General features: G+C 44.0%; 2 protein-coding genes across 20 annotated transcripts in view, besides 4 other annotated features; one reads left to right on the forward strand and one right to left on the reverse strand.

Annotated features, from left to right (window-relative positions):
• Positions 1-2,128, reverse strand: part of DNAH3 (dynein axonemal heavy chain 3) — a 226,349-nt gene extending 224,221 nt beyond the window's left edge. Inside the window, exon 1 of one of the 2 annotated variants that reach the window (XM_017023432.2) lies at positions 1,994-2,128. In XM_017023432.2, coding sequence (XP_016878921.1) covers positions 1,994-2,110 — 117 coding nt within the window. In that variant the 5' untranslated portion in view covers positions 2,111-2,128. The remainder of the gene's footprint in view (positions 1-1,993) is intronic. The other variant, NM_017539.2, reaches the window with a different exon arrangement.
• Positions 1,223-1,352: a silencer, noted in NCBI's record as "silent region_7248". NCBI's record gives its function as "represses an Ori minimal core promoter by ATAC-STARR-seq in GM12878 lymphoblastoid cells {active_cell/tissue: GM12878}" and the evidence as "EXISTENCE:reporter gene assay evidence [ECO:0000049][PMID:35858748]".
• On the forward strand, positions 1,343-23,285 carry LDAF1 (lipid droplet assembly factor 1). 18 transcript variants are annotated; one of them, NR_125971.2, is made up of 7 exons: positions 1,343-1,415; positions 3,754-3,947; positions 9,509-9,580; positions 13,106-13,274; positions 16,679-16,817; positions 21,466-21,601; positions 22,144-23,285. NR_125971.2 is itself a non-coding variant. In XM_006721066.3 (6 exons), the coding sequence occupies exons 2-6, from the start codon at positions 3,852-3,854 to the stop codon at positions 22,223-22,225; spliced, it is 558 nt and encodes a 185-aa protein (XP_006721129.1). In that variant the 5' UTR covers positions 1,343-1,415; positions 3,647-3,851; the 3' UTR covers positions 22,226-23,285. The 18 variants fall into 18 exon arrangements, 17 of the variants coding, with proteins under 17 accessions (XP_006721129.1, NP_001288698.1, NP_001288704.1 ...); XM_006721066.3 differs by lacking the exon at positions 21,466-21,601 and having other exon boundaries at positions 3,647-3,947; NM_001301769.2 differs by lacking the exons at positions 9,509-9,580; positions 21,466-21,601 and adding an exon at positions 3,647-3,677.
• Positions 1,403-1,582: a silencer, noted in NCBI's record as "silent region_7249". NCBI's record gives its function as "represses an Ori minimal core promoter by ATAC-STARR-seq in GM12878 lymphoblastoid cells {active_cell/tissue: GM12878}" and the evidence as "EXISTENCE:reporter gene assay evidence [ECO:0000049][PMID:35858748]".
• Positions 1,840-2,340: an enhancer, noted in NCBI's record as "H3K4me1 hESC enhancer chr16:21170492-21170992 (GRCh37/hg19 assembly coordinates)". NCBI's record gives its function as "activates a minimal SCP1, AML or CMV promoter by ChIP-STARR-seq in naive and primed H9 embryonic stem cells {active_cell/tissue: H9 hESC(naive and primed)}" and the evidence as "EXISTENCE:reporter gene assay evidence [ECO:0000049][PMID:30033119]".
• Positions 2,475-2,624: an enhancer, noted in NCBI's record as "active region_10548". NCBI's record gives its function as "activates an Ori minimal core promoter by ATAC-STARR-seq in GM12878 lymphoblastoid cells {active_cell/tissue: GM12878}" and the evidence as "EXISTENCE:reporter gene assay evidence [ECO:0000049][PMID:35858748]".
• Positions 23,286-24,558: the final 1,273 nt, after the last annotated feature.

Genomic DNA, 24,558 nt, shown 5'->3' on the forward strand with positions numbered 1-24,558 from the left:
GCTTCTTTTTTTTTTTTTTTTTTTTTGAGACAGGGTCTCACTCTGTTGCCCAGGCTGGAGTGCAGTGTCTTCACTGCAACTTCTACTTCCCAGGTTCAAGCGATACTTCTGCCTCAGCCTCCCGAGTAGCTGGGATTACAGGTGCGCACCACCATGCCTGGCTAGTTTTTATATTTTTAGTAGAGATGGGGTTTCACCATGTTGGCCAGGCTGGTCTGGAACTCCTGGCCTCAAGTGATCTGCCCACCTCAGCCTCCCAAAGTGCTGGGATTATAGGTGTGAGCCACCGCACCCTGCCAGCTTTTTGTTATCTAAAGACTTATTTTCCAGGTTGCTATGGCCACAGGCAAAGAGGAGAGGTCGGTCAACACAGGTCCCTGTCTGGAAAGTGGCTGAGAACTGTGCAACAGCAGACCAATGGTTGGGCTTATCCCTCTCTCTAATTTATGGTTGAAGCCATGGTTCAGAGAGGTTACTTAGTCACACAGTAAGTTGCCATCATGCTCTATAGCAGTGGTTCTCACCTCGGGACGATGGGGCCTTCCAGGGGACATTTGGCAATATTTTGAGACACAACTGGAGGTGGGGGGGGGCGGTTCTTGTAACTGGCATCTAATGGGTAGAGGCTAGGATATTGCTAAACATTCTACAATCCACAGCTCAGAAACAGAATTATTCCGCCCCAAATGTCAATAGCATACTATTCAGAAACCTTACTCTATAGGGCAGATTTGGGGCCAGGGGAAACAGGGGCTCCTGCTCCGACTTGGATCCATGCAAACCGAGGAATTTGGATTGATTTATCTTGTCTCTCTCAGCCTGGACTTTTTCATGTGTAAAATGGACATCCAATCCATCTGAAAGGATCTCACTGGCTTATGACATTCGCATTTGAGCAGTCATGGTTAAAAACTTCCAGCCAGGGTGATACTTCATCACGTGTGTGTCTTGAGCGCCAGAGACGTTCCAGAGCAGCTGGTTTTAGGCATACAGGAGGGGAAACCCTGACACCCTTGGAAAACTCATTCTCGGCTGCCAGTCTGCCTGTCTTGAAGGTGGTCTGAGCTTTCTCACTCCAAGCCAGTCGTGTGGGAAGGGACACTCTCTGAGCCTCAGTTTCCTCAGCTGTCAACCTCTCAGGGCTTGTTCTAGTGGCTCCGAAAGCCAGTGGGAGCGAGCGCGCTTTGCAAAGCCTTGGGCGCCGGGCCTTGGCGCGCCTTTGCCGGATCCTTCCGGCCACGGGCGGGGCGAGCCCAGAGGAGAAGAGCCGAGGGGCGGTGCCCGGGCCAGGGGGCGGAGGCAGGCGGCTCTGGCTCCCTCTCGGGACGCTCTTTCCTTCTTCCTCTTGTTCCTCCTCCTGCCTCTCTTCGCTTCGCCTGCAAACGCGGTGGGGGCTGCTCGGCGGTCAGGAGCAGGTGAGAGCTCGGAGCTTGGGGGTGGGGGTCCGGGTGCCCCGGGTGGCTAGACCCCTCTCGCCGGGCGGGGACAGAGGAGGAGCGCGGGGGCGACGGCGTGAGCGCGCTATCGGGGTCCCACGCCCGTAGCTTTCTGCCCCGGGGTTAGTGTAAGGGGCGTCTCCTGCTTATGAGTCGCCGGGACGGGGCTGGGAGCGCACGAGGAGACACGATTCCTCCCCACCCCTAAATGCACACTCACCCCGCCACCCCCCAACACACACACACATACACACACACACTACCACTAGATTAGGTAAAATGGTAGCTAGCACCACCACACCCCGAGACTGTGCCCCTTTCTGGGGAACCTGGGGAAGACGTCGAGGCAAACCTCCCTAGGATTATTGAAAACGGGCGCCTTCCTCACCACCCAGCCCCTCTTCTCCACCGAGGTCCCCTTCCCCATCGCTGCAGAGAGATCTGCAAGTATCAAAGGGGGCTTCTTTACCCCCAAATTAATAACTAAGTACTCGACTCCCCTCTGAGTTCCCATTATTCAGTCTCTGTGCCTTCTGGGACGCGGACCCCCTCTCCACCTGCATTTCACTCCCTTCCTCCTCTCCTTGGGTCTCCCTGGCTTTTGAACGCTGAAAGGCTGGGCCCGGATGGGGAGGGGCGGCCAGTGTGAGCTCGAGGCGCCCTGTAGCTCCCATCCCCCAACCAGAGATGTGACCCCTCCTCCCAGCTTGAACTTTCGAGGTAGCCGTTTTCCCCTGGAGGTTCGGGGGTGGGAGGGCCAGGAGATTTATTTGGAGCCTTGGAAGGGGAAAGGGTTAGCTGGTGTTGGCCTGGCCCAGTCCCCCAGGCGTGAAGAAGGCGGGGCACTCCTTGGCCGCGCCGGGTTCTCGCTTTCCCTTCTCGGGAGACAGCTCCGTGCCTGGGGAGGCCCCTCCGAGGAGTGAGTGACCAGGGGGTCTGGGAATTGGTGGCCAGGTAGACGCATTTGAAGGCTGTGGCCGATGGCATTCGCCCCACGCACTCTCTCATCGGACTCCCCAAACCGGTCTGGGTGGCACTTGAGGCTCCCAGGCCAAAGGAGACCTGTAAGGGGAACTCCGCTTGTTTCTGCTTGCTGCAGAGATGAGATTATGGGAACTGAGTGCTGGGAACATCCCAAGTTCAAGACCTACGCCAGAGGCAGCTTCAAAGAGAGAATGTGGGGTGGTGGGATTAGTCCCCTCCTCAACTTTCCCCTCCAAAGGGTTTCTTGTTTTACAAAAGGGAAGTAGCAGAGGATGTCTAGCTGGGATGATTAAAATGTGCTTTAATTTGCATACTAGACCCTGTACAGCTTAGTAGTAGATAAAATTACCCCCTATATGATAAATAAATGTGAGGATCTCTCAATTAATTTTGGCCACGTGGACACAATCTTTTAAGCATTTGTACTGTAGGTCAGGTCAGTTTAAAGGGAGAAATGGAAAAGATATCTCTGTGTCCAGCCAGTTCTGGGAAATATAAAATAAGAATGATTTTTTTTTTATATTTGAAAACTCAACAAGGGTTAAAAAATATATCTAATTTAACCAATTGCCTTTATTAAAAATAAGTAAAAATTGTATGAGATTGGGACACCCCTCAAAATTCCAGGCAGTTTAGTTAGAGTATAATTACTGTGGTGAGGTCTGCCCCCGAGGTGCAGTTCTCCTTAGCAGGGATAGACTTACCCACAAGTAAGTAGATGATGATGTATGGAATGATGGAATTGGGAGCCAACCTGTACAGTAATAAAGAAGAGAAACAGGTCAAGGCTACTGTTGTACAAGGAAAGCTTTCTAGGGAGAATAAAAGGCAATGAGATTTGAAATAGTGTGTTCAGCTTTCTTGCTTTCTGTATATTTTCAGCATTTTGTCAAGCTAAAAAATAAACATAAGCTGTCAGAGATAATACTATTAACATTTTATCATCTTTTTTTAAAAGTATCATACACATCTTTTCACATCACTAAACAGTCACACTATCATTTTAATGACTGAATTTATCATTATTTAACCAATTTTCTCCTAATGGAAATACAGTTAGCTACTTTCCAATGTTTTGCTAGTCATTATATGTTATAAACAGGGATGCAATGCACAGCCTTTTAGTACATTTTGAGATACCTGTTGGATTATTTCCATCATGTTCCTGGAATATAAATTCCTGGATTGAAGTGTGTGCAATCTGAAATTGTTGTGAATATTGCCAGGTTACCCTCCGTCTGCATGCCCACCATCAAGGTATGAGGATGGTAGAAGCTCTCGTCGAACCAGATGGATGAAGACCACTAACGGCTTTTGTTTCCTCTGGTAACAGCAAGAGACAGAGCGACATGAGAGATTGGACCGCGGGCTGCACTGGAGAATTTACTGGTAGGATAATTCATCCCTAAAGAGATTGAAGTGAGCTTCAGAATGGCAAAAGAGGAGCCCCAGAGTATCTCAAGGGACTTGCAGGAACTGCAGAAGAAGCTGTCTCTGCTGATAGACTCCTTCCAGAATAACTCAAAGGTCAGTTTCCAATCACTATGTATAATGGAAAATCCCAATATAACACTAGCATAAACAAGATAGAAAGTTATTTCTTTCTCCAGTAGAAGGAATTTGGAGGTAAGTCAAGAATCTTTCTGGCTTACCGCCCTGCCATGTCTATGCTGTGACCTTCAAACTCCTTGTCTGAGATGACTGCAAGAGCATCAGCCATTGTATCCATCTTTCAGGCAACAGGATTTGAGGAGGGGGGAAGAGAGAAGTGCAAGCCACCTACAATTTAAGGAGACTTCTGGGAGTCGCACACAATACTTCCAATTACATCCCTTAAGCCAACATTGAGTCATTTGCCACTAATGGCAAATGCAATTCTTTAGCTGGATAAAGAAGTCTGTGCAACAGATATCATCCTTTTTTTGGTTTTGTTTGGTTTTGTTGTGAATTTTGCCCTATCTGTTACCCTGAAAATGAGAGACAAAAGCCTACTTCAAGATTTGAGTTCATTGTTCCACTAGGAATCCAGGTCCGATAGAAATATGATGTGAGTCACGTATGTAATTTAGAATTTTTCTAGTAGCCACATGTAAGAAGTAAAAAGAAATAGGTAAAATTAATTTTGGCTGGGCATAGTGGCTCCCGCCTGTGATCCTAGCACTTTGGGAGGCTGAGGTGGGTGGATCACTTGAGATCAGAAGTTCGAGATCAGCCTGGCGAACATGGTAAAACCCCATCTCTACTAAAATTACCAAAATGAGCAGGTGTGGTGGTAAGGCCTGTAGTCCCAGCTACTCGGGAGGCTGAGGCAGGAGAATCACTTGAACCCAGGAGGCGGAGGTTGCAGTGAGCTGAGATTGTGCCACCGCACTCCAGCCTGGGCGACAGAGCGAGATTCCGTCTCCAAAAAAAAAAAATTATTTTTAATAATGTTTTTATTCAACCTAAGATATCAAAAATATTTCAACATGTAATCATTTATACAAAATTATTAATGAAAAAAGATTCTTGAAACATTGTACCTTCTTTTTTGAACTCCCTCTTCAAAACCCCCCGTGCGCATATTTTACACTTCTAGCACATTTCAATTCGAGTTAGCCACTTTTTAGGTATTCAGTGGCCACTCAGTGGCAATGAGACTTCAGATAGCGTTATGTTTTCTTGCATATTTATCCTTATTGCTTTCTTCTATATGTCTTTCAGCATTTTGTCAGGGAAAAGAAAACAGCTTTCAGAGATAATACTGTTAACATTTTGTATGTCATTCTAGACCTTTTTTCTATGCAATATACCTATAAAAATACATATGTATATGTAACAAAATGAACTATTTTGTGGTGTATTTTTTTTTGTATTGGATAGCACAGCGGGTCTACTCGAAGAGATGCTTGTTTGCAATCTACAACAATAAATTCTGGACTTGCTCCAGAATTTATTTGGCACTCTTTGTGGATTTACCAAGCTATTTTTAAATTGGACAAGCAGCTTTCTCGCCAGCTGGCGGGGACTCTTGTTATTAAAAGTTAGCTCAGTAAGAAGGGTCCTCCTGCCTGTTCCACATTTACAGCTGATTCTCATTAACCATGGTAGTTACGTTCTATAAAGTTACTGCAGACACTGAATTAGCACATACCAAACCATCGCTCCTAGGGGAAATACAGGATTCAGTTGCTGTGAGCCTCCTGTTCACAACATTTTTGTCAGCTGATCAGTACATAACCTCGTTTTATGTGTATTTCTGTTTAAAGACATGTTAATATATATTGTTGATCATTAACGTTGAACTCAGGGCCAACAACAGTACTATGACTCATGTCTTAAACAAAGCTAATCACACACATGTATTTTCTGCATAAGGCACATCACAGCCTTCTCATGGTTAGGAACGCTAGAGAACACTTCAGCACTACACTTGGGGACCATTTTCAACAGTAAAATCACCAAACTAAAGCATAAACGTGGCACTAAATAGACCACAGTGACACTTGTTTAAAGGATGAAACAGGAAGGCTCGGTGTCACCTTGCTTGACCTCAGCTGGGAATGTACGTGGCAGGTGACTCCACTTTTTGCTGTTGTGGACGTGTCCACTAATGACCTCAAAAGCACTGCAGGCCAGGCGTGGTAGCTCACACCTGTAATCCTAGTACTTTGGGAGGCCGAGGCGGGTGGATCCCTTGAGCCAGAAGTTCAAGACCAGCCTGGCCAACATGATGAAACCCCTTCTCTACGAAAAATACAAAAATTAGCTGGGTGTGGTGGTGTGCGCCTGTAATCCTAGCCTCTTGGGAGGCTGAGGCACGAGAATCGCTTGAACCCAGGAGGTGAAGGTTGAAGGGAGCCAAGATCACACCACTGTACTCCAGCCTGGGTGACAGAGCAAGACTCTATCTCAGACAAAACAAAACAAAACAAAAAGCACTGCCAGTATTCATTTTGAGGTTACAAATAAATTTCAGTGAGGAGGCAAATTTACAAATATGGAATCATGAGTAATAAGGATTGACTGCATATTTCTTGGCACTGACTGTATGCCAAGCACTGCACTAGGCATTCACCCTGGCCCTGTCTGAACTTAGTTAATAGTCACGTTCACCTGCCTTTTTTGTTTGTTTGTTTTTGTATTTTTAGTAGAGACGGGGTTTCTCACCATTTTGGCCACGCTGATCTCCAACTCCTGACCTCAGGCAATCCACCCACTTCGGCCTCCCAAAGTGCTGGGATTATAGGCGTGAGCCACCGCACCTGGCCACCAGTGGTTGTAAATGGTCCTGACCCTTCGTCTTTCTCCTGTTAGGAAGAGATAATGAATCATTGATTGTTTTTTGCATTCTGATACCAGGGAATTTGCCTGGCTCCTGAATCATCCAAGTTTCAGTCTTCATGTTCTCAAATACTGGCCACTTTGTCCCTAGTTTAGAAGCCAACCGCCTTTGTCTGACCTTGGGCAAGTCACTTAGGCTCACTGAATTTCCATCTCCTTTTTTAAAATTTTTTATTTATTTTTTATTGAGACAGAGTCTCACTCTGTCTTCCAGGCTGGAGTATAGTGGTGTGATCATGGCTTACTGTAGCCTCGAACTTCTGGTCTCAAGCAACACCTCCAGCCTCAGCCTCCTGAGTAGCTGGGACTACAGGTGCACACCAGCATACTCAGCTAATGTTTTATTTTATTTTTTGGAGAGACAGCATCTTTCACTGTGTTGCCCAGGCTGGTCTCAAACTCTTGGCCTCAAGCAGTCCTCCTGCCTTGGCCTCCTGAAGTGCTGGGATTACAGAAGTGAGCCACCATGCCCAGCTGCCATCTCCTCTTTTCTAAAATGAGCAATGTCAGGCTCAGAGGTTTGTTATGAAGATTATCTGAGATGCTGTTTGAAGCTTTAGCACAGAGGGTGGCGCATAATGTTGTCAGTCTGTCTCAGCCTGGCCTTCCTGGGCTCTGCAGTGCTGCACTGTGCTTACAGAGCCTAGATTGGGTAACCTGTGTCTACCTCCAGGCTGGTGATGGAAAATCACAGTGCATGTTACTGAATAATAACCTCTCCCACTTTCCATCTTTCCATTGCATCCCCCTCTGTTGCCATGAGAATGAAATGTTAATTGCTACGTTCTACCCCCCTGAGTTTAAATAGTGTTAGGTCGTTCTTTTTTACCTACCTCGTAGCATTGTAGGAAGAAATAAATGAGGAAATAATACGAGAGGTGCTTAAAGCAGTGCCCAGCACCTGAGTGTTTAATGAATGTTCTCTGTTATTATTAGGTGTGGTTGAATCGTGTCCTCCCCTCCTGGGACAGACTGGCTGGAGCTCAGCTGTACTTCCTGGGAGAAGACAATTTCTGGGTTTAATCATCTGAATCTTGGTCTCTTTGCATATCTAAATGACTTTCTCTTTGATTATAGAGCCCAGACTCGGAAAAGACTAAGAATGGCGGGGCATGGTGGCTGATGCTTATAATCCTAGCACTTCGGGAGGCCGAGGCGGGCAGATCACTTGAGGTCAGGAGTTCGAGACTAGCCTGGCCAACATGGTGAAACCCCATCTCTACTAAAAAATATAAATATTAGCTGGAAATCGCCTGAACCTGGGAAGCGGAAGTTGCAGTGAGCCGAGATCATGCCATTGCACTCTAGCCTGGGCAATAGAGTGAGATTCCATCTCAAAAAAACAAAAGGCTAAGAAAAAGGTGGATTCCTTAAGGACTGAAGTGGAACAGTCTTGCCTGTTTCCTTTTATATCCCTGTGCCATACAGTCCCTAAGTCCTGTGTATTCCTTCTTTTGTCATTCCACTTTCATACCCATCTACCCCTCCCCCTTCTCTTCCCTCTCTGCCATCAGCCTGGACTTGACCACAGTATATCTTGCCTGATTTCCTGCAAATCTTTCTACCTGCCTCTTGCACATGATTGCTAGGTTCATATTTCTTAAATCATTCCTTTAATCATGTCATAGTTCTGCTCAAATGACAGCAGTTTGTTCCCTGTTTTTTTTTTCCCAGATGAAATTTAAATGAGTGCTGTCTAGCAGAAATATTATGTGAGCCACATATATAATTTTAAGTTTTTTAATAATTACATTAAAAACAAAAAGAAACAAATGAGATTAATTTTATTTATTTATTTATCTTGAGATGGAGTCTCGCTCTGTCGCCCAGGCTGGAGTACAGTGGCGTGATCTCGGCTCACTGCAACCTCTGACTCCCGGGTTCAAGTGATTCTCCCGCCTCAGCCTCCCAAGTAGCTAGGATTACAGGCACGCACCACTCTGCCTGACTAATTTTTTTGTATTTTTACTAGAGACGGGGTTTCACCATGTTGACCAGGCTGGTCTTAAGCTCCAGATCTTAAGTAATCTGCCCACCTCAGCCTCCCAAAGTGCTGGGATTACAGGTGTGAGCCACCGTGCCCAGCCAGAGATTAATTTTAATAATATATTCTCAATTTAACACAATATATCCAAAACACTATAATTTCAACAGGTAATATAAAAAAGTATTAATGAGATATTTTGCATTTTTTTTTCTTACACTTAAAGCACATCTCAATTCTGATGCCAAATTTTCATTGGAAATATTTAATCTCTATTCAGATTTTATAAAACTTACAATTCAGCGAAATAGATTCACATACCCAACCTATTGGAAACATACTTAAAATTTTTCCAACAACTGAATCAAGTCTCAGCTTTAAAATTTAAATTAAATTAAATTGGAAATCCAGGCCATCAGTCACAGGAGGAGCATTTCAAGTGCTGAATGGCGCAGGTGGCCTGTGATGGACAGCCCGGGGATAAGCTAGCAAGCCCAGTGTCCTGGTGTCCCAGCCTCACAAGTTCCTTCCGCTGCACAGCCCTTCCCTCGCTGGCGCAGCATACTCACGGGTGTACTGCTGCCTCCCTTTCCTGGAGAGCCCATCTGCTCTCCCCACTGTGGTTCTTTGGATTGTAAAGATCAGGTGACACAGGGAGCATCAAATAAGGATGCATGTGGATTCGAACTGGAAAGAAGTCAGGACCTGAGACAGCGCAAGGGACCAGCCCACATTCTGTGTGGTGACTCCCACGGCTCCTCCGCCTCTCTTTCTCTTTCAGCTGCCCCAACACAGCAGGATCTCACTGGACTCTGATGATGGAGTGTCCAGGCTGGGCAGTGCTGGCTCCAAGGTGATTCCTGCTACAGTCATCTCTGGCTAGAGAAGCGGAATAGCAAGCTCTTTGGTGGCTTTTGTCAGAATGGTGGGGTAGCAGGAGGCAGTGAGGTCAGCGGGCATTATGCCGTCCTGTGGCCTGGCAGGGAGTGAAATTGGCCATGCCTCGAGAGTAATCCTTAGGAGACCACGCTGAAGCCCAAGACCAATGGCTGTGGCTTCTTGGCATGGCCTCTTTTATTTAAGCAGGGTGCAGCTTGCACTTTAGTTCCTTCAGCATGAACCACAAACCCCTCCTGCCTTCCAACTCGCCCTGAAAATCCCACTGTTTAAACCACTTGGGTAAACTCTTCTTCCTAGGAGGCACATGTGTTTTGGGGACCTGAATTATGTCTTCTTTTCATCTGTTGGCCTGCAAGGCCGTAGGGATGAGGCTCAGGAAGGACCAGTTATGATGGAAGGAGGTTCTGGAATAATGGTTCCTTTCAAGTGAACAGGATCTAGAATACCAGTACTGAGGAGAGAGAAGGCGTGGAGCCTAAGGAGGAGAGGGGGAAACCCATCTTTGCGGATTTGCCTATGGCCAGCTCTGCGTTAAAGCAGTCTCCCTCCATTGAGTCAGATCGAAAATTCCTTTTTGCCCGGTGAAGGAAAATAAACTATTAACACAACATAAACTTGCATTAGTCACAGGCTGTGGCCAACTATGGTAACCAGGTTGATGACATAAAAGCATTTTTACTTGATGTGGTGGCAGCTGTTGCAAGCATTGGACATTCTGAGTCCAAGACCTTAGGTTTGTTTTTTTTTTTTTGAAAAGGAGACTTGCGGTGGGGCGCGGTATCCCACGCCTGTAATCTCAGCACTTTGGGAGGCCAAGGCGGGTGGATCGCCTGAGGTCAGGAATTCGAGACCAGCCTGGACAATATAGTGAAACCCTGTCTCTACTAAAAATACAAAACTTAGCTGGGCGTGGTGGGGGCGCCCGTAATCCCAGCTACTCGGGAGGCTGAGGCGGGAGAATGGCTTGAACCCGGGAGGCGGAGGTTGCAGTGAGCCGAGATCTTGCCATTGCACTCCAGCCTGGGCGACAAGAGCAAAACTCCATCTCAAAAAAAAAAAAAGAAAGAAAGAAAAGAAAAGGAGACTTGCTCTGTCATCCAGGCTGGAGTGCAATGGCGCCATCTTGGCTCACTGCAACCTCCGCCTTCCAGGCTCAAACGATTCTCGTGCCTCAGCCTCCCTAGTAGCTGGGACTACCAGCACGCGCCACCATGCCTGGCTGATTTTTGTATGTTTAAAAGAGACAGGGTTTCACCATGTTAGCCAGGCTGTTCTTGAACTCCTGACCTCAGGTGACCCGCCTGCCTCCACCTCCCAAAGTGCTGGGATTACAGGTATGAGCCACCATGCTGGCCAGGCCTTAGCTTTTAATGCTGAGATTTTGCCACTTGGAGGCTGTGCGACTCTAGACAAGTGATTAGCTTTTAATGCTGAGCTTAGCTTTTAATAGACAAGTGAATAGACAAGTGATTAGCTTTTAATGCTTACTAATAGACAAGTGATTAGCTTTTAATGCTTAATAATGCTTTTAATAATAATGCTTTTAATAATTATAATTATAATAAATAATATATAAATAATATAATACATATTATAATTATATACATATATAAATATAATATATTTATATAATATATAATAATGCTATATGAATATTGATAACTAATATTAGTATAATATATCTAATATAATTATACAATATTATAATTATGATTTTTATATTACATTACAATTATATTTTTATATATAATTATATATATATTTTTAATATTATATTATATTTTTATTTTATATATTATAATTATAAATATTTTTATATTTATATTTTTATAAATATAATTATATTTTTATATAAAATTAAATATAATTTAATTTTATATAATTATAAATATTTTTATATTTTATATTTATAATTATAATTTATATTATATATTTATATTTATATATTTATATTTATTTATATTTATATATTTAAATATTTATATTTATAGTATATATAATATAATATATTATATTATATATAATTATAAACATATATAATTATTATATTATAATTATAATTATAATGCTTTTAATAGTAATAATACTTTTAATAATAATAGACAAGTGATTAGCTTTTAATGCTAATCACTTTAATAATGCTTTTAATAATAATAATGCTTTTAATGCTTAATAATAGACAAGTGATTAGCTTTTAATGCTGAGATTTTGCAACTTGGAGGCTGTGCGACTCTAGACAAGTGACTTAGTTCATTGCTTCTCAAACTTTAATGTGTATGCACGACACCTGGGGAATCTTGTTTAAAAGGCAGTCTGATTCATCAGGGCCTGAGATTCTGCATTTCCTTTTTTTTTCCCCTTTTTCTGGAGACAAGATCTCCCTCTGTTGCCCAGGCTGGAATGCAGTGGTGCAATCCATAGTTCACTGCAACCTCAAACTCCTGGGCTCCAGTGATCCTCCCACCTCAGCCTCCCAAGTAGCTAGGACTGTGGGTATGTGCTGCTATGCCAAGCTAGTTTTTAAATTTTTTGTAGAGATGGAATCTTGCTGTGTTGTCCAGGCTGGTCTCAAACTCCTGGCCTCAAGCAATCTTCCTGCCTCGACTTCCCATAATGCTGGGATTACAGATGTGAGCCACCACGCCCAGCCAGATTCTGTATTTCTAACAAACTCCTAGATGATCCAAGTAGCTAAGCCTATTTGTGTCTGAGTGGCTTCAACTATGAGAACCTCAGCTGTAAAGTAGGAGGCAGATGGTATGTACCTTACATCAATGCACCTTTATGCCGAAGAGGTCTTCTCAAGAGTGTGTTTGGCAGGAGAGCCATGACTGGGTCTTTCCTCCTTTCACAAGGCTTGACCTTGGGTGGGGACCTCAGACTTGCCACCTCTCCACAGCTGCCTAAGATAGCTGCCTGGGTGACTCATGTCTTGGGAGAAGTCTTGTTGTAGTGACTTTTTTTTTTTTTTTGAGACGGAGTTTCGCTCTTGTTATTCTTATTATCATTTTTGAGATGGAGTCTTGCTCTGTCTCCCAGGCTGGCGTGCAATGGTGTGACCTTGGCTCACTGCAACCTCTGCCTCCCAGGCTGGAGTGCAATGGTGCAACCTTGGCTCACTGCAACCTCTGTCTCCCAGGTTCAAGCAATTCTCCTGCCTCAGCCTCCCCAGTAGCTAGGATTACAGGCACACACCACCGTGCCTGGCTAATTTTGTATTTTTAGTAGAGACGGGGGTTTCATCATGTTGGTCAGGCTGGTCTCAAGCTCCCAACCTCAGGTGATCCGCTCGCCTTGGCCTCCCAAAGTGTTGGGATTACAGACATGAGCCACTGCACCCGGCCTGTAGTGACTTGTTAATGCATAAGCCTTCTGGCTTTACGACTTCTGCCTTGTAATTCCCACAGCTTGGGCAGATTCATTCAACCTGGGGTTCCGATGTGTTACTTATCCCTGGCTCTTTGTCCTTTGCCTACAGGTGGTGGCCTTTATGAAGTCTCCAGTGGGTCAGTACTTGGACAGCCATCCGTTTCTGGCCTTCACCTTGCTGGTGTTCATTGTCATGTCGGCCGTTCCTGTTGGATTCTTCCTGCTCATCGTGGTGCTTACCACCCTGGCTGCTCTGCTGGGGGTCATAATATTGGAAGGTAGCCTGTTCCGTCATTCACCCCTTTAGAAAATAATTCAATTGGGAGAAAAATACTTTTGGGGCCATTTAAAAATTTTTTTAAGGGGCGGGGTCTTGTTATGTTGCCCAGGCTGGTCTCAAACTCCTGGGCTCAAGTGATCCTCCCACGTCGGCCTGCCAAAGTGCTGGGATTATGGCCATGGGCTACCATGCCTGGTTGTCTGCCATTCTTGTCAAAATCACATCAAGCAAGGCAACTTATCAGAGTAGGTAAAACATAGACTCTGGAGCCTGCATTCAAATCCCACCTCCACCACTGTGATTTGGGGCAAGTGGTTTACCTCTCTGAGCCTTAAATTCTTAATATGTAAAATGCAGATATAATAATACAATCTCAAAAGGTTGTTGTGAAGATTGAAACTTATGGCTCCATAAAGTCCTTAGCACAATACACAATACATGTCACAGAGTAGCTTCTCAATGAATGCTAGCTATTATTATTAAGCAGAGAGGCCATTCATTCCACAGTGAGTTATTGGGCACCTACTGCATGCCAGATGCCTCGCTAGGTACTGGAGACCACCTTCATCCTTCCTCCTGAAGTTCCACTACCAACAGTCAACTTCTCCCTGTATTCCTAAGTTAAAATTACTGGGAAAGCAAATCTGATTTGCTCACTTTGACTTTTCAAATCAGATCACACACCCCAGGCAAGTGGCCAAAGAGATGGTGGCCAGTGGGTCAGGTGATCACTTCTGGTCCATTCCGTGGCTTCCCAGAGCTAAGAGCACCCAGGGCTGTTTATTTGCCCCAGGGACAAGGCAGTTTACACTTGAAGGAGAAAGTAGGCATGGTCAGTGGATGAGCCAAATACAGCCTGGCAGAGTGGTTTTTGAGTAAATGTTGATAGATAGATGGGTGAATGCATGAATGAATGGATGGAGGAATGAATGAGTACCATAAGAAAGGAAATTTATAGAGAAAGGAGAGAGCCATTACATTTTGGTGGTACCATGCAAAGCTTTACAGCAGACAAGACTTTAAGGATGCATAACAACTTTGCCTCAGGGTGGGCAAGGAAGGGCCTTTTGGACAGGGGAACAGCATGTGCAAAGCCTCTAGAATAGTGGTTCTTGAACCTGAGTGTATTTAAATCTTTTTTTTTTTTCTAGATGGAATCTTACTCTGTCGCCCAGCCTGGAATACAGTGGCATGATCTCAACTCACTGCAACCTCTGCCACCCAGGTTCAAGAAATTCTCCTGCCTCAGCCTCCCAAGTAGTTGGGATTACAGGCATGCCCCACCATGCCCGACTAATTTTTGTATTTTTGGTAGAGATAGGGTTTCGCCATGTTGGCCAGGATGGTCTTGAGCTCCCGACCTCAAGTGATCTGCCCACCTCGGCCTCCCAAAGTGCTGGGATTACAGGTGTGAGCCACTGCACCCAGCTCCAAGTGTGTATAAATCTTACTTTCTTTATCAAAATACAGACTTTGGATCTTTTGAGACCAGGAGTTCAAGACCACTCTGGGCAACATAGCGAGATTCCCTCCATCTCTTTAAAAAAAAAAAAAAAGAGGCCGGACACAGTGGCTCATGCCTGTAATCCCAACACTGGGAGGCTGAGGAGGGCAGATCACTGGAGGTCAGGAGTTCGCGACCAGCCTGGCCAACATGGTGAAACCCCATCTCTACTAAAAATACAAAAAATTAGCCGGGCATGGTGGTGGGCACCTGTATCCCAGCTACTTGGGAGGCTGAGACAGTAGAATCACTTGAGCCTGGGAGGTGGAGGTTGCAGTGAGCCAAGATTGCACCATTGCATTCCACCCTGGGTGATAAGAGTGAGACTCTGTCTCAAAAAAAAGAAAAGAAAAGAAAAAAGAAAGAAAGAAAGAAAAAAGTGGTGTGTGTCTGTAGTCCCAGCTACTCAGAAGGCTGAGGTGACGGGATCGCTTGAGCCCAGGCAGTTGAGGCTGTAGTGAGCTATGATCATGCCACTGCACTCCAGCCTGGGCAACAGAGCAAGACTCTGTCTCTTAAAAAAAGAAAAAAGAGAAAGAAAATGCAGACTTCCAGGCCTCATCCAGAGAGTGTTGTTTTAGTAGGTCTGGAGTGGGGTTTAGAAATCTGAATTTTTCACGAGCTTCCTTGATGCACCTGATTCTGATGCAGGTGGTTGGCACCACACTTTGAAAAACGCTGATCTAAAATTTTGCGAATCTTTATGAACAGGCAGCACACCTGTTGATGTTCTCTTCCTTCCAGCCTTTTCAGGGTCCCTCCCTGAAACCATCACTGTGGCTGTGGGAGGAGCACTGGGCTAACTGGCCACTCACAAAGCAAAGGGAAGGATGTCAGCCATACAATACTTGCCATGTTACTTGTTCTTCATGATCTTTTCCTTCTACCTTTTATTCTTTTCCCCCCCACAGGCCCCACATTATGAAAAAATGTATTTTCCTTGCACGTATTAGATGGTAATTCATTAATATTCCTATTCAGAGTGGGAATGGTATATTAAAATGGCATATAAAATGCTCCATAAAAATGACCAATCAGACCTTAAGATTAAAATGTGATGGTTTACAGGCTGGATTTTCAAGGATGCCATCAAAAGCTGCATTTAGATTTTGCTTTAGCCTGCATGACCTTTATACCTATAGCTTGTAGGTAAGAGTAAATAATGGCATTTATTATGCACTTTGAGACATTAGAGATAATTTACCTCCCCCAGTACTGCCTTGGCTGACTCCTCGAGGGGATCCCTTTGGAAGTCCATCTCTGACCTTGAGGGTAAGGGAATCTCAAACTCCAGCACTTATGGGCAAGACAAAATGAGCAGGCTGGTTGTGGTGGCTCACGCCTGTAATCGCAGCACCTTGGGAGGCCAAGGCAGGTGGATCACTTGAGGTCAGGAGTTCAAGACCAGCCTGGCCAACATAGTGAAACCCCATCTCCTCTAAAAATATAAAAATTAGCTGGGCGTAGTGGCAGGCACCTGTAATCTCAGCTCGTCAGGAGGCTGAAGCCGGGAATCACTTGAACCTGGGAGGCGGAGGTTGCAGTGAGCTGAGATTGCGCCACTGCACTCCAGCCTGGGAGGCAGAGCAAGACTGTCTCAAAAAAGAAAAAAAAAAAGACAAAATGAGCAAAGCAGCCCATGTGTGATGCAGTTTGGGAATTGGGGGGACTGGAGGCAACGGGAGGGCCAGCCAGTTGTTGCCATGGTTTGATGCCCACTCAGGTACCCATATCGCCTCCTTTTTTTAAGTGATGCTAGAAATCTGGGTTTTTGTGGGAAATCTTCTTACTTTAATAATCTGAGTTAGCGGTTGTTATTTTAAACAGACTGACCCAGGGTCTGCCAGTTTTCAACCTGTTTGAGATGAACCCTTCTCCTAACCACGTTCTCCTCCTAGGATTGGTCATCTCTGTGGGTGGCTTCTCACTGCTCTGCATCCTCTGTGGTTTGGGCTTCGTATCACTCGCCATGTCGGGGATGATGATAGCATCTTATGTAGTGGTCTCCAGCCTCATCAGCTGCTGGTTTTCTCCCAGGTAAATACATGTCCATGAAATAATTTATTTTTTTAATCTTTCTACTTTTTTGTTTTTTTGAGACAAGGCCTCACTCTGTCACTCAGGCTGGAGTGCAGTGGCATGAACATAGCTCGCTACAGCCTCAACCTCCAAGGCTCAAGCAGTTCTCCTGCTTCAGCCTCCCAAGTAGCTGGGGCTACAGGTGCATGCCATCATGCCCGGCTAATTTTAATATTTTTTATTTTTTGTAGAGACAGGGTCTTGCTATGTTGCCCAGGCTGTTCTCTAATTCCTGGGCTCAAGCAATCCTCCTGCCTCCACCTCCCAAAGTGCAGGGACTACAGGCATGAGCCACCACACCTTGCTGAGTAATTTAATCTTTGCCACTTGAGGGGATTTTCACAAATAAAACCATAATCCTAGTTGATGTCCAGAAGGAAACTTGTAAGACCCAGGTGTTTCTCATAGTTCCCCATGTATGCCAGGCATCAGGTGGGAATTTACCATGGAATTTTAAACAAAGCAATTGCTGTCATTTTCCATCACGTATACACATTTCATTGTCATAGCAACTCTATCAGTATTATTGATTCCTTTTAAAAGATGTCCATTTAATTTACAAATGTCAAATTAGGTGGTTTTCTTTGGCGGGGTGGGGCAGAGAGGCACAGGAGAAAAATGACCCACGAGACATGTCTGTCACCCAAAGCGGTACAGTATGGGAGCCGTGAATCTTCTGTCCCCAAAGTCTGTCAATCCCCTCTGCTCTTGAGAATGTGAGTTTCTCACCAACTGAGTGTGAGCCTCATGTTTGAATATATAGATTTTTGTTCCTACAATATGGCTCTTCAATGCCAGCTACTTCATCTGGGGCCTTGAGTGAAAGAACAGCGATCTACTTAAATGCTGGAGGGAAAAGCCAGCTATGTTGGCATTACTGAGAGACTCTGTGTTTGTCTACAATGTGCCACCCACCTAAGGGATTTTCAAAGGAGATTTATTTTAATGCTTTATTTTTGTCCTTTGTGTTGATTTTAGAATCTAAGTCCCAAGTTCATCATACTTCATTTAAGCTCCTGCTAAATTGATGATAGTGCTACTGAGCACTTGCTCTGTGCCAGGGACTCTCTTAAACACTTTCCAGGCCTTATGTCATGTAATCCTTAACAATTTAGCCCCTTTCTATTATAAGGAAAATTAAGCCAAGTCCCTTAAGCTGAGAGTAGCACAGAAGGGACTTAATTCCAGGTGAGTTAATTCCAAAGCCCTCTTAATCAAGATACAAAGTGACTCTCTAAAACAGGAGTTGGCAATTTCTGGAAAGGGCCAGACAGGAAGTATTTAGTAAGTAATATAGTCTCTACTGGAATTTCTGGAAAGGGCCAGATAGTAAGTATTTAGTAAATAATATAGTCTCTACTGCAGTTAGTCAACTCTGTTGCCGTAGCATGAAGGCAGCACAGACCAGGAAGTAAATGCATGGGCATGGCTGTGTTCCAGTAAAACTTTATTTACAAAGACAGGCAGCTTGCTGGATTTGGCCAACCATTGCTCTATAAGAACTGATATCCTGAGTTTTGTTTTTCTACAAAACAGCCCTTGAACTCCTTACCAAAAGTTTATCCTGTTATTATTCCTATGTTGAAAAATAAAGGGTGAAGTGGGTATAATATAAAATTGCTCAAGGATGGCTCTTATAGGATTGCTTAATTGAATCAACCCTGGAGTCATAATCACCTTTTCAAAAATCGCTTTGATCACTCTTAGTCTTTTGTTTGTTCATTTGTATTTTACTTATAAAATGGGGTCTTGCTGTGTTGCCCAGGCCATTCTCAAACTCCTGGCTTCAAGCAATCCTCCCCCGTTGGCCTCTCAATGAACTGGAATTATAGGCGTAAGGCACTAACTCACTCCCAGTCTTAAAAGATGTAAAAGGAGAAATATTGGCCTATTTTGCATATTGAGGGTGATGCTTCTGAAATAAAATTCCTCCCTGCCTCTGAACGCTGCTGTAACAGGGTGAGTTCTTAAAGATTATACCACAGGAAGTAGCAGAATCTGACTCCCTACTTATCAATGAAGAAATTGAAAAACAAATCCAGGATTTGTACTTGATCTCCTTATCTTCCCCTATTGCTGCCAACCAATTGTTTCCACGTGGGCAGAGGTTCTTAAGCTTTTTGTTCTCAAGTCCCATTTTACCTTCTTAAAAATTATTGAGGCATCTGAAGAGATGTTATTTATGTGGTTAATTGTATTAATAGCACTTTGGGAGGCCAAGGAGGGAAGATCACTTGAGGCCAGGGGTTTAAGACCAACCTAGGCAACATGGCAAGACCACATCTCTACAAAAAATACAAAAATTAGCCAACTGTGGTGGTGCGTGCCTGTAGTCCCAGCTACTCAGGAGGCTGAGATGGGAGGATCATTTGGGCCCAGGAGTTCAAGGCTGCAGTGAGCTGTGATCACACCATTGCACTCCAGCCTGGGCAACAGAGCAAGACCCTGTCTCAAAAAACAAATGAAATGAGCTGAAATATAAAATAAATAACTAACATGACATAAAACTATATACAATAAAATAAATTAAAATAAACATAACATAAATTACATTAAATCAAATTAAATATTAGCTGGTGCATGCTTGTGGTCCCAGCTACTCAAGAGGCTGAGGAGGGAGGATGGCCTGAGCCTGGGAGGTTGGGGGTGCAGTGAGCTATGATTGTACCACTGCACTCCAGCCTGGGTGACAGAGCTAGACTCTGTCTGGAAAAAAAAAAAAAAAGAATATTAATAATTATTTCTTTTTAAAAAATTTTCTTCCTCATTGTTTCTTGTTCTGAAATAATTATTCTATGAGAAATCATAGCATAAATTTTAAAAATATCTATTCATTTAAAAGGAACAATATTACCTGTTGATATAAATAACAAATTTTAATGAAAAGTAACTATATTTTCCAAAACAAAATGAAATTTGTGAGTGGTATTATTTTACATTTTACAGATCTCTTTCATATCTGCCTTAACAGTTGTCAGCCGGCTTCTCGTTTGTGTGGCTGCATTCATTCTGTTGTGCTATGTTGTCCTGTTTGGAGTATTTGAAGAAGACCTAGCATCACTAACATGCGGTTGGGAGAGGGAGGCAAAGCTTTTTTAAACGATTGTGGATATTCTATGATAGTCCACCAAAACTCCGTAAGTGATAGTTTCTTAAAGGTTAGCTGAAATGTGAAATTTTTCTACTCTATTTTATTGAAATCTTCAGGTCTGTGTCACACTTTAAATTGATCTTTATCATGCATGATTTTCTAACTTTACCCATTGGTCAATGGGAGAATATCAATTCATTGAGTCATGCAGATCTTCCAAATATATTTTGAAAAATTGCACTGTTCCCTTGTGAGAGAATGTGAGTGAAAAAGGCATATAATAGGTCATGTTATTGTGAACATGGTTTTCATCTGAGAACCCTTGCATTAGCGAATTCTTTTTTTTTTTTTTTTTTTTGAGACGAGTCTCACTCTCACCCAGGCTGGAGTGCAGTGGCTTGATCTTGGTTCACACAACCTCTCCCTTCTGGGTTCAAGCAGTTCTTCTGTCTCAGCCTCCCGAGTAGCTGGGATTATAGGTGTGCACCACCATGCATGGCTAATTTTTGTGTTTTTAGTAGAGGTGGGGTTTCACCATGTTGGCCAGGCTGGTCTTGAACTCCTGAGCTCAAGTGATCCACCCACCTCAGCCTCCCAAGATGCTGGGATTATAGGTGTAAGCCACTGTACCCAGCCTGCATTAGTGAATTCTTTATAACTCAAAAAAAGATAACTCCCTCATTAAATGATCGAAAGCATGGAATGGGGGGAAGAGGAGCTATATAATTTATTTCATGATTTAATGGAATTTTGGCCCTAAAACATAAAAGATAATACAGCTTAAATTTTTAAAAAAGAAAAGAAAAAGGAAACAAAACTGTAAGTTTCCCTTACATATGAAACCCAACTAAACAATATTTAGATCAAATACACTGACCTGCCTCCTATGTAGATCAGCTAGCCTCTGAGGGGCAAAACCACACTGCTTGGTTATGGAGACTGCAAGACCTTCCAGGGCCTGCAGCTCAGGAGAAGTAGGGGCCCTGGGCAGCTGTGTTTATTTGCAGAGCCACCAAACTCACTACCCCATATCATAATCTTCCAAACCAGCCTGAGCATAACTAGCTTCCTTACATCTTTACTAAGAAAAGGAAAGGCTTCTTTCTTAGTTTTTTGTTATCAGGGAGGAATGGTTTAGGTGGCAAATAATGAAAAAAACCAAAGTAGATACTAGTTTAAACACACAGGGAACTTTTTTTTATTGCTTAATGAAAAACTGGAGACAGCCCAGGGCTGGTGCAGCCAGTGTGGTATCAACATACCAGGCACCTTTTGCCTTCCTGTGTTGCTATCCTTAGCCCATTGGTTTCCTACCTTATGGCCACAAGATAGCTGCTGCAGCTCCAGATCTACCAGCTACCTTCAAGGCAGCAGAAAAGGAGAAAAAAATGGAGTCTGACCCTTTTAAAAATGTGAATAAAATATTTCCCAGGACCTCTCACCACTATACTTCAAAAGACTTCATTGACTAGAACTTTGTCAGATGGCCGCTGGTTGCTGTTCTCCTGATTGTAGGTCTCACGAGATCTGATGGTTTTATAAAGGGCATTTCCCCTGCACATGCTCTCTTGCCTGCCGCCATGTAAGAAGTGCCTCTGATCTTCCTTTGCCTTCCACCATGATTGTGAGGCCTCCCCAGCCATGTGGAATTGTGAGTCCATGAAACCTCTTTTTCTTTATAAATTACCCAGTCTCAGGTCTTTATTAGCAACATAAGAACGGACTAATACAATCCTCCCCCGAACTCCTTTCCATGGAAGGTGTCAAGAAACTAATTGAAATCAGAAGATATGGTCTGAATCCCCGCCCTGCCATGTTTTCAGCTGTGTGGTCTTGAACGGGCTGCTTGACTTCTCTGATTTCAGTTTTTGTCCATTGGTAAAATAGACAAAATGGCTACTCTTAATCTACCATTCTCACTGGGTTGTTGTGAGGACACAGATAATTAAGAAAAACATAATAAATATCCAAATTAGAAAATGGAAAAGGGGCCGTAACCCTACTCCTAACCTGGTCATTTTAACCTCCTGTGCCCTCAGTTTCTTCATCTGTATAATGGACATAGGCCTGGTGTGGTTGCAAGAAGCAGCTAAAAATCAGGAAAAAGAACATCATGTATTCAGCTATGCACACTTCCAACGTTGCTCTTTACTGAGGCCCTAGAGCTAACGATCTCTTCTTGTTATCCGACAGGCCACTGACACAGCAAAACACCAGTTGTGACTTTCTGCCAGCCATGAAGTCTGCAGAATTCGAGGGGCTTTACCAGGAATGAGTGACTGCTCAGAGGCCGGGCTTCTTTTCAAGTACTGCTGGATCATACTCACCCCTTGGGATTATGGCTTAGAAGAAGGGGGCTGGGTAGGCAAGCACTCCTTGGCTGTGTCCTCTCGCTTTTTCACTTACTTGTAGGATCCCGCAGCAGCCAATTTAGGGATTGTGTTGTTCTTGTGTTGGTTCCCATGTAAAGAAGCAGCAGAGAAATGCGATGGTTCAACAGCTCGCCCTGCCCCAAGTATGCAGACTTGACCTTGGCGGGGTCCTGGGCTTCTAGAGTCTAGCCCGTTGACCCCAAAGCCTCAGGGCTTATGTCCAACGGTCCCATTGGGAGCAACAGTGATTGTTTATAGTTTTTTGTTTTCAGAAATGAGGGCAGCTGTTAATTTTTTCACTCATGTGAAACAAAATGAAAAAAAAAATCCAAAACAGAACAAGCCCTTCTGTGGTATTTGCTTTTTATCAGAAAGAACAGCAACATTTGGCCTCTCCAAGTTGGAAAATAGAGTCCAAATGTAACTTTGTGGCCAAGAGTATTTTCAAAAAAGTCTAAAGGTGTAGTTTCCACTGTAACTGTTGAGTACTGTTAAGTACTGTTAATCTTTTACATATTTGCACTTGGTACTGTTGTATTGTTCTAAAGAGCTTGTCCTTTAAGTAATTTCTTTCTTTTTTTTTTTTTTTTTTTTTTGTGACGGAGTTTCCCTCTTGTTGCCCAGGCTGGAGTGCAATGGTGCAGTCTCGGCTCACTGCAACCTCCAACTCCCAGGTTCAAGTGAGTCTCGTGCCTCAGCCTCCCAAGTAGCTGGGATTACAGGCACCCGCCACCGTGCCCGGCTAGTTTTTTTTTGTATTTTTTTTAGTACAGATGGGGTTTCACCATGTTGGTCAGGCTAGTCTCAAACTCCTGACCTCAGGTGCTCCACCTGCCTTGGCCTCCCAAAGTGCTGGGATTACAGGCGTGAGCCACTGTGCCCAGCCTAAGCCATTTCTTAAAATAAAAATGCTAAAGGACTAGTAAGTAAAAATAAAACTTCCTATGGGATTTCCCAGTGGAATTACTGAGTGGTTTATTTGCGTGGCATTTCATTAAATATTTATTTGGGTGGGCTTTTTTTCTTTACTCTTTTTCCCTTCTGCTCCATACATCAGACCTGCCTATTCCTCTGTCGATTTCATGACTGGTGCTGGGTAATAGGGATTTTTTTAGTTGCTCGCAATAGACACCCAATTCCACATTACTTTAAAAAGAGGGGTGGTAGGGAGAAGGATTAGTTTCACTCAACCAAAAAGCCAAGGGGTAGATCTTGAGGTGCTGCTGATTCCAGGGGCTCAGGTGGTGTCATTAAGCATCTCTCACCCCTCATCTCTCAGTATAGCTTTCCTCAGTGTGAGCTGCTTTTGCAGGCAGGCCCGCCACCCCTTTCGGAGGTCCCAGGAGCTCCATCCTGGGCAAGAAAACTGCTTTTTTCCAACAGTATATACAAATATTCTGGGTTTGGCTCTGATTGGATAGACTTGGGTCATGTGAGCGACCCCAGACCAATCATGGTGGCTAGGAGGATGGGATATGCAGATGGGACAGGGCTGGGATGGTGGCCATTCAAGAAACAGGGGAGGCGATAGATCAGCCCACTATTAATATAACTATTAATATTAACAGTTACTGTTTATTGGATGTTTCCTTCATTCATACAACTGTCTGATATTATCTCTCTATGCTATCTACCCAGCTGGGTTCTGCAGCTTTAATAATGAAGAATGCAATGGTCTCCCTTCTGAAGTTTTCTTTCTAATGCAAGAGTGAGTGAGCAAGCATATCTGTTGCTATGTAACAGTTTACCAGCAACTATTGGCTTAAAAGAACAGGCATTTCTTATCTCACATTCTTCATGTGTTAGGGGTCCAGGCATGGCTTGGCTAGATCTTTTGTAAGCCTGTGATCACAGTGTCATCAGGGCTGTGTTCTCATTTGGGGTCTGACTGGGGAAGGACCACATTCCAAGCTCACATGGTTGTTGGCAGCATCCAGCTGGCAACACGACTTAAGCCCTCCATTCCTTGCTGCATATTCCCCTCCCCATGACAGTTCAGTGTGGTCAATGGCTTCTTCAAAGCCATCAAGGGAGAGCCTCTCAGCAAGATAGACGTTACATTCTTAGGGAACGTAATCATGCATGCACAATCATGAACACTGGATCACTTTATCTGTGTTCTGCTGGTTAGAAACGAGTCCCAGAAACCACCACCCACTCTCATGAGGAGGGGATCACCCAAGGGCAGGTAAACCACAGAGGGGACCATGGGCTCTGCCTTAAGAGTCCTTACTAG

Source organism: Homo sapiens, chromosome 16, assembly GCF_000001405.40.
Source record: "Homo sapiens chromosome 16, GRCh38.p14 Primary Assembly".
Taxonomy (NCBI): Eukaryota; Metazoa; Chordata; class Mammalia; order Primates; family Hominidae; genus Homo; species Homo sapiens.

Bases quoted from the DNA above. Each gene is read 5' to 3' on its own strand.
- LDAF1 (XM_006721066.3), top strand. From the start codon at position 3,852: ATGGCAAAAGAGGAGCCCCAGAGTATCTCAAGGGACTTGCAGGAACTG. The intron at 13,275-16,678 runs GTAGCCTGTTCC...TTCTCCTCCTAG, and splicing joins GGGGGTCATAATATTGGAAG to GATTGGTCATCTCTGTGGGT. The intron at 16,818-22,143 runs GTAAATACATGT...GTTATCCGACAG, and splicing joins AGCTGCTGGTTTTCTCCCAG to GCCACTGACACAGCAAAACA.